The sequence below is a fragment of the Homo sapiens genome, chromosome 1 (assembly GCF_000001405.40).
Source record: "Homo sapiens chromosome 1, GRCh38.p14 Primary Assembly".
NCBI lineage: Eukaryota > Metazoa > Chordata > Mammalia > Primates > Hominidae > Homo > Homo sapiens.
The window spans coordinates 219,127,526-219,141,322 of NC_000001.11; the positions used below are offsets into that span (position 1 = coordinate 219,127,526).

At 34.2% G+C, this 13,797-nt stretch overlaps 1 long non-coding RNA gene across 1 annotated transcript in view; it reads right to left on the reverse strand.

Moving 5' to 3' along the window:
* Window positions 1–13,797, reverse strand: part of LYPLAL1-DT (LYPLAL1 divergent transcript) — a 92,816-nt gene that overhangs the window by 46,553 nt on the left and 32,466 nt on the right. The window lies entirely within an intron of this gene.

Below are 13,797 nucleotides of genomic sequence, written 5' to 3' on the forward strand. Positions count from 1 at the left end.
ATGTGTTCTCTATGGTGGGATAATAATGGGAAGGTGGGGGAGGATAGGAAAAGGCATTGAACCAGTAAAGACACTAAGTTCAGACACTGATGAGTGGCAGATGTCATGACCAGAAGAAATTTTTGGTATCAAAAACTATAGCTGAGATAACAGAAGATATCTCTGTTGGCAGATGGGAGCCTGGTAAAAAGAAGATTTAGATCAGAAAATGTTCATTAATACAGGCAAGCAAGTAACTTTAGAGGGATCTTAGAAGAAGTCATTACCATGACTAAGAAGGATTGATATAAGAAGTGTAAGAATTGTTTAATATTGAAAAATCTAAATAATATAATCTATCACATTAATAGACTTAAAGAGAAAAATCACATAATTATCTCCATAGATGCTGAAAAAGCCTTTAATAACATCCAATAACAATAGAAAATGAATAATAAAACTAAAACAATAAAATAATTCAGTCATACAGCAGAATATAAGATAAACATTAAAGCCTGTACATAAATAAGAAGCAGGTAGAAGATATAATAGAAGAGAAAATTCCATTAATGCTTTCATAAAAATGAGTAAAATCCTGAGGGATAAACTTACAAGAAATGTGTGAAGCTGACATGAAGGAAGTTACAGTAGTCCTCGCTTATGCATGGAAACTACATTCCAACAACCCCAGTGGATGTCTGAAACTGCAGATAGTACTAAACCCTACATGTACTATGCACAGATTTCTTTTTTCTTCTATGTAAGATTTCTTTTTCCTCTTCATGATTTCATGGATAGAAGTTTTAGATGTGGTATTCAATATTTTTCTTTCCTTAAGTCAAAGATTTCAGCTTTTCACTTAAAAACAACACTTTCTGGATTCTCCTTTTGGCATCTCTGAATTGCCAATATCATTACTTTTTTGCTTTGAGGCAGTTATTAAATCAAATAAAGGTTACTTGAACACACAGGTATCGCGATATCATAACAACTGATTTGATAACCAAGATGGCTACTATGTGACTCCTTGGCAGGTAGTGTAGACAGTGTGGATATGCTGGAAACAGGCTGATTCACATCCCAGGCAAGATGGTGTGTAACGGCATCACACTATTCAGAACAACACACAATTTAAATTAAATTTATGAATTGTTTATTTCTGGAATTTTTTATTTAATATTTTTAGATTACAATTGACCTTGGGTAACTGAAGCCACGGAAAGCAAAACGGTGGATAAGGGGCAACTACTGTATAAAACACTTCTGAAAAACCAAAAGTAGACATGAACAAATGGAAGTACACCTCAACATCATCAATTGTATCAGCTGTCCCAAAGTTATTTATAAATTAAATATATTCCTAATAAAATACCAAGGAGCTTTTTCCCTGAGCTAGGCAAGGTGATAACAAAATTCATATAAAAAAATAAATAAACAGCCAGGCACAGTGGCTCATACCTGTAATCCCCACACTTTGGGAGGCCAAGGGGGAAGGATTTCTTGAAGCCAGGAGTTTGAGACCAACCTGGGCGACATATTGAGACCCTGTTTCTGTAAAAAAAATTAAAAAGTAGCCATGTGCAGTGGCTCATGCCTGTAATTCCAGCACTTTAGGACACTGAAGTGGGATAATCACTTGAGCCCAGGAAGTCAAGACTGCAATGAATGAGTAATGATCATGTCACTGCACTCCAGCCTTGGCAACAAAGCGAGACCCTGTCTCAAAAAATAAAAATTAAATAGACCAAAAGGGAAAGCCAGAAAAAATATTTTTTAAAGAGATATAAGAAAGTACTAACCATACCAGATATTAGAACATACTAAAAAACCTCTTTAACAGCATTATCCAGTGGACCTTTTGTGATGATGGAACTTTTTGTATCTGCACTGTCCAATAAAATAGCCACATGTGGCTAAATGAACACTTAAAATATACCTAGTGCAACTAAACAACTGAAGTTTTAATTTTATTTCATTATAATAAATTTAAATTTCAGTAACCACATGTGGCTAAGACCTACTATATTAAATAAGCATAACTTTGCAATTAAGTATGGAATTGATGCAAGAATAAGCAGACCAGTTAAGTAGAATATTAGGTCTAAAACTAGATTCTCTCTCACACACACACACCTATAAAAAATTCATTCACACTATAAACAAAATCTTCCCATGTGCCAGATATGCTGGAAGTAATTAGGACAGAAAAGTGGATAAGAACTAATAAATTCACAATCCATGATGAACAATGATGGAAAATAACGGAGGGTGTTATAAGTGCTCACGAGAAGTCACTGATTCCTCCCTGCTGCTCTATATACTTTACCCAGACTCACCAATTTCAACATATACACACACACACACACACGTACATATACATATGTACACATACACATACATATGTACATGTATATGTGTGTGTGTGTATATATATACATGCTATGTAAAAGATGTTATCAATGGGACAAAGAAGACCTCCTTAATAAATGGTGCTGGAACAACTAGGTAATCATTTAGTAAAAGATAAAACTAGATGTATTCCTTGCACCATTACCAAGAATAAACTACAAATGTTACCAGCAATCTAAATGTAATAAATGAAATCATGCAAGTACTAAAAGGAAACACGAGTGAATTCTTCCTTATTAACCTTGATATAGAGCCAAACTTTATAACTATGCTCCCCAAATCTAGATGCAATAAAAGGAAAGATTGATAAATTTAACTATATAAAAAAAAATTAAAAAGCTTTTGAATGGCAAAACAAATTGAACAAACAAAAAATTACCATAAGTAAACTCAAAGATAAATGGAAAACAGAAAAAAATTACTGCAACAAATATGAAAGAAAAATGCTAATATTCCTAATATGTAAAAAGCTTTGAAAATTGAGAAAAAAGATTTTAAAATCCTGTTGAAAATGAGCAAAAGCATAAAGATATAGTTAACCAAGTGGTCCCTACATGTAAAGCTTATTCTACTCACAGAAGTAGAAATGTACACTAAAGCTCGCTGAGATAACTTTTCTTATCCATCATATTGGCAAAACCTCAAAAGCATATAAATACACTACTGGCAAGATTCTTTCATATGTTGCTGAAAGGAAGGCAAAATGGCCTAACTCTTATGGAAGGGCAGATTTGGCAATATTTAACAAAACTGTGTATGTATTTATCTTTTCATGCAGCCATTCCACTTCCTGGGATTTACCCTGAACAATATGAAAATACATGCAAGGGGTTATTCATTACCTCATTATTTGTAATTGCAAAATATTGGAAACTACCTAAATATCCAGGCATAGGAGATTGGTTAAATATACTATGTTACATGCACACAATACAATAGTATAGTATTATGTAGCTATAAAAGAAAATGAAGAAGAATTCACTGAAGCAGTAGGGAGTTACTTCCATAATATATCAAAGGAAAATAGCAAAGCATAAAAGTATATATTGTATCAATTGTACATTTTCTGAATTTGACCATTTGAGTGTGGTTATGTGAGAAATGTTCTTTGAAAATAATACACAGATTATTAAAGAGTAAAGGGAAATAATATATGCAATCTATTCACAAGTAGTTCAGGAAATGTAGGGAGAAAAAGCAAGCAAGAAAAACAAATGTAACAAAATGTTGAAATTGGTGAATTTGGGTAAAGTATATAAAGAGCAGCAGACAGGAATCAGTGACTTCTCTTGAGTACTTATACAACACTCTGTTATTTTCCATCATTTTTCACCATGAATTGTGAGTTTATTAATCTTTTTTTTTTTTTTGAGATAAGGTCTTGCTCTATCACCCAGGCTGGAGTGCAGTGGAGCATTCTCAGCTCACTGCAACCTCCTCCTCTGGGTTCAAGTGATTCTCGTGCCTCAGCCTCCCGAGTAGCTGTGATTACAGGTGCACACCACCACACCTGGCTAATTTTTGTATTCTTAGCAGAGACGGAGTTTCACATGTGGGCCAGGCTGGTCTCTAACTCCTGGCCTCAAGTGATCTACCTGCCTTGGCCTCTCAAACTGTTGGGAAACAGGCGTGGGCCACTGTGCCTAGCTGAGTTTATTAATTCTTATTCACTTTTGTCCTCATTACTTCCAGCAGGATCTGGCACATGGGTAGATTTCAAGTATAGTGTGAATGAATTAATTAATGAATTTTTTAAAGAACGAGAAAAGTGATTGTATGAATTGGTTTCTCCAGGAAATGTATCTTAGAGGAGGTAAATCTTAAATGCGTTTTTAAAATTTCTAAAACTGTGTCAGGGTGGAACAGAGGGTGAATATGAGCAGAGGGAACAACTTAAATAAGGCACAGAAACAGCTGTGAGTGCAATAGGGCTGGAGACAGTCAGGATCATTATGACAGAAACAGAGGCTTTAGAATGAAATTACTGGGAAATAAGTTTGGATAGCTGATGAAGAGAATCAGACTGTAGAGACACTTCAAATCGAGGCAGGAAGTTTGGGGAGGCACTAGAAACTCCCACTGGGCTCTTAGGAAACAAACATCCAGATAGCCACCATACATGGTTCCTCCTGATGACCTATTTGCACAGAAAAAAACAGGCCAATGATGAGGATTTTCGTCATTTCCCTGTCTTGTGTTGGTCACTGATTTTTGTCAGTGAGGCAGGCTTCCCAATGCCCAGTTATTCCTTTTGAATTTTGAGATAGGAATCTAGACAGATGGCACCTTAGTTTGACCTTGCCGTTATATAACCACAAGAAAAAGTTACTGTAGTTTTTTTTTTTTTTTTTTAAAATCTGTTACACTAACTGCATTATTTCATGCTCTGGAAGTTTTACTTTGGTGAAAAAATATGAAAAAAAAAGATTACCTTAAATAAGTTTTAACTTTAAGGTACAGAAAATGAAGAATGTCAGCTCCCATGATTAACTATCCTAGGCATGGCTTATGCTCTATGAGGTGCCAAAACTTGATGTGAATAACATTAAATGCTTCAAGATGTGCAAGCACATATATTCTCAAATGGGCAGAAGTGATTATTGTGAACATAGGCAAACTTTAGTTGAAGGATATGCATAATTGCTTTATTACACAGGGTGTACCAGGTCTACATGTATTTATTCATTAATTTTGTATTTTTTTCTGAAATGATCAGCATTAATTCCTAGTAACTGCATTTCTATAAGACATTCATAATATAAGAATATAACTATAATATACAGACAATAATCAGATTGAATTTAACACTAAATGACATAGAGCAGAATGAAGAATTTTTTAGAACTTAGCAAAATGCTACCCTTTCTTCTGGCTGGCCCAGGCAGGGAAGAAAGAAGGTGACTGGAATTCAGAAAATAAAATGACAATTTCTTTTTTCATTAGATGCCTATTTGTTAGCAAAAGAAGTACTTATTTTAAGCATTATTCAAAAAACACATCCTCAAAATATTAATAAACATCTCTTTAAAAATTCCTATATATACAGTTGTCTTCATGCCAATGCATTTGCAAATTAGTTTAATTATATAGGCACTCATTAACACATATTTATTATAAATCAAGAAGCTGCCAAATACTGCTTTGTGACCTGGGGATATAAACAGGGAGAAAAAAAGGCAAAGACAAAAATCTCTGTCCTCAGGGCTTATATTCTCGTAGGGAGAGATAGACATTGAACATCATAACTAAGTCTAAAATACAGTGTGCTGAAGGTGACAAAGAGTATCAAAAAAAGTTAAGCAGGTGAGGATAGGAAGTGTTGAGTGGGTAGTGTAACCACCAAATGTGTAAGTCTTGCCTGCTGCCCAGATATAGCCTATTTATCAAGATAGGAATTGCACAGAGAAAGAGTTTAATACACATACAGTCTGCTAAACAGGAGACTGGAGTTTTATTATGACTCAAATCAGCTGACCCAACAATCGAGTGGTTAGGGTTTTTCAAGAACAATTTGGCGGGTAAGAGGATAGGGAATGGGTGCTGCTGGTTGGTTGGAGATGCAATCATAGGGGTGTGGAAAAGAGTCATTGTGCACTGAGTCCCCTTGTGGGTGGGGGCCACAGAGGAGTCACTAGTCTGGATGGAACCATCTGGTTGTCAAAAAGGCAGAAGCCTGAAAAAACATCTTAAAAGGCCAATTTTAGGTTCTACAATAGTGATGTTATTTATAGGAGTAATTGAAGAAGTTGCGAATCTTGTGACCTCTGGAATAACAGCTGGTAATTATTTAACTACATCTACATCTTAGCAGAATTCAGGCCCCTCTCATCCTCCTAACCTGGTGGCCTTTCATTAGTTTTACAAAGGCAGTTTAGTTTGAGGAGGGGCTATTATTATTTAAACTATAAATTTCTCCCAAAGTTACTTGGGCCCATGCCTAGGAATGACAAAGGGCAGTTTGAAGATTAAAAGTAAGATGGAGTTGGTTAGGTTAGATCACTTTCACCATCGTAATTTCCTCACTGTTGTAATTTTTGCAAAACTGATTTCAGTAGCAATTTTAATTAAGGTTTTTGGGAAAGTCTAACTAAAAAGATATTTGAGGAAAGAGCTGAAAGATGTGAAAGAGTGAGCCATGTGGAAGAGTGGACAGGAATACAGCAAGCTCCAAGTAGCTCCTGGTGTGTCAAAGGAGCACCTAGGAGGGTAGTGTGGCTGGAACACTTACTAGGGACTTAGAAACAGGAGGCATGTCTCAGAAGGCCACAAAACGACATGGTGGATCCTCATGTCATTATCCCCTAGACCCAGGACTTACTTACCACAGAAAATCTGTCTAAGGACAGGCAGCATTTATGGTAAGTATACGTTTATGATAATATCAAAGTTGTTTTGACCTAAGGACAGGATTTGCAGTAAGCATGTGAAAGTAGAAATCTAAGAGGCATTCTCAGAATTGCAGTTCATCAGAAGTCAACATGGCAGATTAGCATCCAGGATGGAGGTACTTCAACCTCCACAAACTCCATGTAAGATGAACTCAAAGTGACCCACACCAGGACATATAATGAAGCTTTAGAAAGACAAATGCAAAGAGAGAATTTTGAAAGCACCAAAAGAAAAGCAATTCATCACATAGAAGGGAACCTCAATAACATTATTGGGTTTCTCATAAGAAAATTTGGAGGCCAGGAGCCATCAGGCTGATATATTCAAAGTAGTAAAAGAAAAAAAAAATCTGTCAACCAAGAATCCTGTATTTTGCAACACTATCCTTCAAAAATAAAGGACTAGTTTTAAAATATCCAGATAAACACAGACCTGCCCTGCAAATGTTTAAGGGAAATGTTCAAGGGAGTCCTACAGGGTGAAATAAAAAGACACTAGACAGGATCAGGCACAGTGGCTCACACCTGTCATCCCAACACTTTGGGAAGCCAAGGCAGGCAGATTATGAGGTCAAGAGATCGAGACCATCCTGGCCAACATGGTGAAACCCCATCTCTACTAAAAATACAAAAATTATCTGGGCATGGTGCCATGCACCTATAGTCCCAGCTACTCGGGAGAATTACTTGAACCCAGGAGGCGGAGGTTGCAGTGAGCCGAGATCGCACCACTGTACTCCACCCTGGTGACAAAGCAAGACTCCATCTCAAAAAAATAAAAAAATTAAAAAAAAAGACACTAGACAGTAATGCAAAGCCATATGAAGAAATAAAGATCTCAATAAAGGTAAATATACAGGCAATAATAAAAGCTGGTATAATATTATTGTAATGATGGTTTGCAACTCTACTTTTATTTAAGAGACATTTTAAAAAGTATTTCTCTATAACCCAATATTTTGTAACTTTGATGTGTAACCCCACATTTTGTTTTCTACATAATTTAAGAGACTAATGTATTTAGAAAAATTCCTATTTCATATTTTTCAGCACACAATTTATAATGATGTAATTTCATGACATCAACAATTGAATGGGGTAAGAATTGAGCTATTAAAGAAGTAGAGTTTTTGTATATTATTGAAGTCAACTGGTATAAATTCAAATCAGAGTGTTACATCATTAGGATGTTAAATATAACATCCCTGGCAATTACAAAGAAAATAGCTATAGAATATATACAAAAGGAAACGAGAAAGAAGTTTAAACAAAAAGTCAACTAAATACAGAAGAAGGCAGCAATGCATGAAATGGGTGACACAAAAGCTACAAAAGTTACATAGAAAACAAATAGCAAAATTCAGAAGTAAATTCTTTCTCATCAATAATTACTTTAAATATAAATTGATTAGATTTTTCAATCAAAGGGAGATTGGCAAAATGGATTAAAAAAGAGCATGCACAATCTAACTATATGCTGTCTACAAGAGACTCACTTTAGATCCAAAGACACACAAAAATTGAAATTGAAAGGATGGAAAAAGACATTTCATGCAAATAGTACATAGAGCAAGTATGGCTACTCTAATACCAGACAAAATAGATTTTAAGTCAAAAAGATCACAAGAGACAAAAAGGTTATAATACAATGATAAAGGAGTCAAATTATCAAGACGATATAACAGTTTATATAATAACATAAACATTTATGCACTTAATGACAGGCCATCAAAATATATTAAGGAAAATGTGAAATAATTGAAGGGAAAAATAGACAGTTCTTCAATAATAATTGAACACTTCAATACGTCACTTTCAATAATGAATAGAACAACCAGACAAAAGTAAGAAAACAGAGAACTTAACACAATACACCAACACATCTAACAGCCATATATATATTTTTCTCAAGTGCACTTGGGATATTTTCCAGGATATACCATATATTAGTCCACAAATTAAGTCTCAGTAAATTTTAAAAGATAGATATCATACAAAGTATCTTCTGTGACAACACTGGGATAAAGTTAGAAATGAGTAACAGAGTAAAACTGGAAAATTCATAACTTTGTGGAAATAAAACAACATGCTCTTAAACAACAATCGGATCAAAAAATGAAGAAAATATTTGGAGATGAATGAAAATGAAAATATACCAAAAATTATGGGATGCAGCAAAAACAGTGCTAAAGAGGAAACATATAGCTATAACTGGTTACATTAAAAAACAAGAAAGGTCTCAAATCATCAATCTAACTTTACAATTGAAGGAACTAGAAAAAAAAACAAACTAAACACAAAACTACCAGATGGAAGGCAAAAAATAAAAATTAGAGCAGAGATAAAGGAAATAGAGAATAGAAACACAATAGAGAAAATTATAAGCCCCCCAATATTAGTTTCTTTGGAAAGATTAACAAAAATGACAAAACTTTAGTTGGCTGAACTAAGAAAAAGAGAAGCTACTCAAATGAAAATGAAAACATGACTACCAATTCTACACAAACAAGAAGGTTACAAGAGAGTATACCATGGACAATAGTATGCCAACAAATTGGATCAGTAGATGAAATTGACAAATTCCTAAAAACATAAAATCTACCAAGACTAAATTATTAAGAAATTTAAAATCCGTTTGGACCTATAACTAGTAGGGAAACTGAATTAGTAATCAAATATCTCCCAACAAAGCGAAGCTCTGAACCTAATGGATTCACTGGTGAACTCTAACAAACATTTACAGAAGAATTAATACCAATTGTTCTTACCTTTTTCCAAAAAAGAAAAAGAAAAAGAAAAAAAGAGGAGGAGAGAAAACATCTTAATTTATTTTCTGAGGCCAGCTTTACCAGCTTTACTCTGATACTAAAGCCAGATAAAGATACTACAAGGAAAGAAAATTACAAGCCAATATTTCTTGTGAACATTGATACTAGCACACTTAATTCAGTGACATATTAGAAGAATTATATACAATAACCAAGTGAGGTTTAATCTGGGAATGCAAGAATGATTCAAATACAAAATCAATCAATGTAATATACCACATTAACAGAATGAACAAAAAGCACATCGTTATCCCAATTGATGCAGAATACCTTTTTACAATAAAAATACTCAACAAACTAGGAATAGAAAGAAACGACCTGACCATAATAAAAGTCATACATAAAAAGCAAACAGCAAACATTGTATTCAATGATGAAAGACTTACAGCTGTTCTTCTAAGATCAGAAAAAAAGACAAGGATGCCCGCTCTCACTACTTCTATTCAACATAGTACTAAAAGATTTAACTAGAGCAATTAGTGAAGACAAGAGAACAAAAGACATCCAACTTGGAAAGAAAGAAGTAAAATTATTATCTCTGTTTGCATATTATATGATCTTATATGTAGAAAATCCTAAAGATTCCATAAGAAATCTATTAGAGCTAGTAAATGAATTCAGCAAAGTAGCAGGATACAATATCAACACACAAAAATTGGTTGCATTTCTATACACCAATAATGAACAATCTGAAAGGAAATAACATTTAAAATTCCATTATAATAGCACTGAAAAGTCAATTTCTAAGTACTTTAGAAACTAAAGATGAAAGACTTGTACAATAAAAACTACACAACATTGCTGAAAGAAATTAAAGATGTAAGTAAATAAAAACACATTCCATATTCATGGATCAAAAGACTTAGTATTATTAAAATGCCAATACTACCCAAAGTGATTTATTGATTCAATGTAATCCCTGTCAACATTCCAATAATATTTTTTGCATAAATAGAAAAATCCATTTTGAAACTTATATGAAATCTCAAGAGATCCTAAATAGACAAAACAATCTTGAAAAAGAAAAACAGAGTTAAAGGATTCACACTTTTTGATTTCAACACTTACTACAAAGCTACAGTAATCAAAACAGTGTGGTACTGGCATAAGGACAGACATGTAATTGAATGGAATAAAGAGCACAGAAATAAACCTTCACATATATGGCCAAATGATTTTTGACAAGGGTGGCAAGAACTTTTAATGGGAAAAGGACAGTCTCTTCAACAAATAGTTATGAGAAAACTGGGTAAACACATGCCAAAGAAGGAAGCTGGGCCCTTATCTAATACCACATACAAAAATTAACCCAAAATGGATCAAAATTCTAAGTGTAAGACTCAAAACTATAAAACTTTTAGAGGAAAACCTAGGGCAAAATCTTTACAACAATGAATTAGGCAATGACTTCTTGGATATGACACCAAAGTTACAGTCAACAAAAGAAAAAATGGACAAATTGGATTTCATGAAAATTTTTAAAATTTGTGCAACAAAAGACAATATCAACAAAGTAAAAAGGCAACCCACAGAATGGAAGAAAATATTTATGATCAAATATCTTATAAAAAATTAATGTTTGGAATGTATAGAGAATTCCTAAAACTCAACAGCAAAAAAAAACAACGACAACAACAAAAAAAAACTTGATTGAAAAATGAGTAAAGGACTTGAATAGACATTTCTTCAAAAAGATGTACAAATGGCCAATAAGCATATGAAAAAATCCTCAACATCAGTAATCATTAAGGAAATGCAAATCAAAACCACAACAAGATTACACTTTACACCCATTAGGTTGGTATGATGGTTAACTGTATGTGTCAACTTGACTGGACTATGAGATGCTCAAGTAGCTGGTAAAACATTACTTCTGGATACGTCATTAAGGATGTTTTTGGAAGTAATTATTAATAGTATTTGACTGAGTAAAGAAGATCCATCGTTATCATTGTAAGCAGGCATCATCCAATCAATTGAGGGCCCAAATAGAACAAAAAGGTAGTCAAATGGGTAAATTTTCTCTCTCTCCTTGAGTTGGCACATCCTTCTTTTCCTGCTCTCACACACAGAAACTCCTGATTCTGGGAACTTCAGACTCTGAAGCTTATACCTTTGGATTCAGACTAAATTACACCACTTGCTTTCCTGGTCCTCCAGCTTTCAGATGGCATATTGTGGCACTTCTCAGCCTCCATAATCACATGAGCCAATTTCTATGACAAATCTCCAAATTTCTGTCTCTCTCTCTCTCTCATTGGTTGTTTCTCTGGAAAATCCTTACTAATACAGACAGCTACTATTTACAAAAACAGAGAATAACAAGTGTGGAAAACAGTATGGCATTTCCTAAAACAATTTAAAATAGAATTATTGTATGCTCTAGCAATTCCACTTCTAGGTATATATCCAAAAAACTGAAAGCAGGGTCTTGAAGTGGTATTTATGTATCCATGTTCATATGAGCATTATCGACAATAGCTAAAACGTGTAAGCAACGCAAGTGTTTATCATGAATGAAAGGATAAGCAAAATGTGGTAATACGAATACAATGAAATACTATTCAGCCTATAAAAAGAAAGGAAATTCTGACATATGCTAAAACATAGATGAACCCTGAGGACATTATGCTAGGTGAAATAAGCCAGTTACAAAAGACCAGTACTGTGTGAACCCACTTATATGAGATACTGACAGTAGTCAAAATCATAGAGACAAAAAATATAATAGTCATTGCCAGAGGCTAAAGAAAGGCAGAAATGGGAAGCTTTGGCTTAATAGGTATAGAGTTTCAGTTTTACAAGATGAAAAGAGTTATGGAGATGGATGGTGGTAATGGTTGCAAATTATTAGGAATGTATTTAATACCACTACACTGTACACTTAAAATGGTTATGATAGTAACTATTATATGTGTATTTTACTACAATAAAAAAAATTGAAAAAAAAGGGCCACTTTGAAGTTTTTCCTAGGAGATGTGTGAGAACAGTGCTTGTTAGTCTTCTGAATATTTGCACTGCTTTTGAATGTCAGCACCCTGGTCTTGACCCCAGGCACTGAATGCCCCTAGCAGTTGGACATAAATAGGTCCACAAGAACTCTTACAAAATTAGAGAATGAATAAAAAGGAAAATTAAAAAGAGAAACAAAGAAAAAAAAACAGAGAAAAGGAATATATGGAGGATACAGCAAAGAAGGAAGGGATTGTGGGAGAAAAAGAAAAGCATGGAAAATATTTTAAGTGTCACAGCAATTGCCACAGCTGCTGTTCTGTGATGCTCTTAGTCTCAGCAGCAAAAGCTTGATCAAGGGCATGCAAGAATACGGCTGTTCAAGGAAAACAGATTTCTGACTACACTGATTTGATTAGCTTGGTGATCTAGGGAACAGACCATATGGGTATATTTCAGATATAATCACTGCCATTTTTTTGGTAATAAGTGAATAAAGATAAAGTGCTTTATAGTATTACTAAATTATCTCAGATTGCTTTAACTCCCTTTGATTGTACTGCTATTTTCAGCTAGAGATGCAGACAATGATTGAATAAAAGACCTGGATGAAATTCAACCCAAAACTTCATTAAAATTTGATTAATCTGATCAATTTAGACAGCTAAACTAGATAATTCAAGCCTCCAAGTGGATTTTTTTGGATCAAGTAATCATACCAAAATGACTAACCCAGTTTGGCTGTCTGAATCGATCAAGCAAACCAGGTAATTGTAAAATTTCTCCCTTGTTTGCACTGGGTACATAGAGTTCAGTTTAATTGTATGAAAGTGGCTTTATAAAATTCTAACAGAATTAAAGTAGCCATGGAATTTTCTGTGTTTGAATTATCAGCATCTTCTCTTAACAACTTATTTGGCCAGAAATGTGGTTGGAGTTGAGGGTTGAGGAGAAAGAGTGCTGGGCTGTTTATTATCATTTTGTGAGCTCTTTCAGCTTTTTTATCATAGTTCATGTCCCTGTCATGATCCTAATGTCAGGTTGCTAGGTCATTACTTTTTTTCCTCCTTTTCCTGACACACATCTGGAAACCTACCAGCTATTTTCCTACCCAACAGCTGAGTAGGTCTATTTAGAAAGCCAGAACCAAGCAGAAATTCTGAGTAACTGCCCTTCTCCCTATTCTTGACATTTATCTTCCTCCCCTCTTCCAGTATAAACCATGGACTCCCCAACCTGG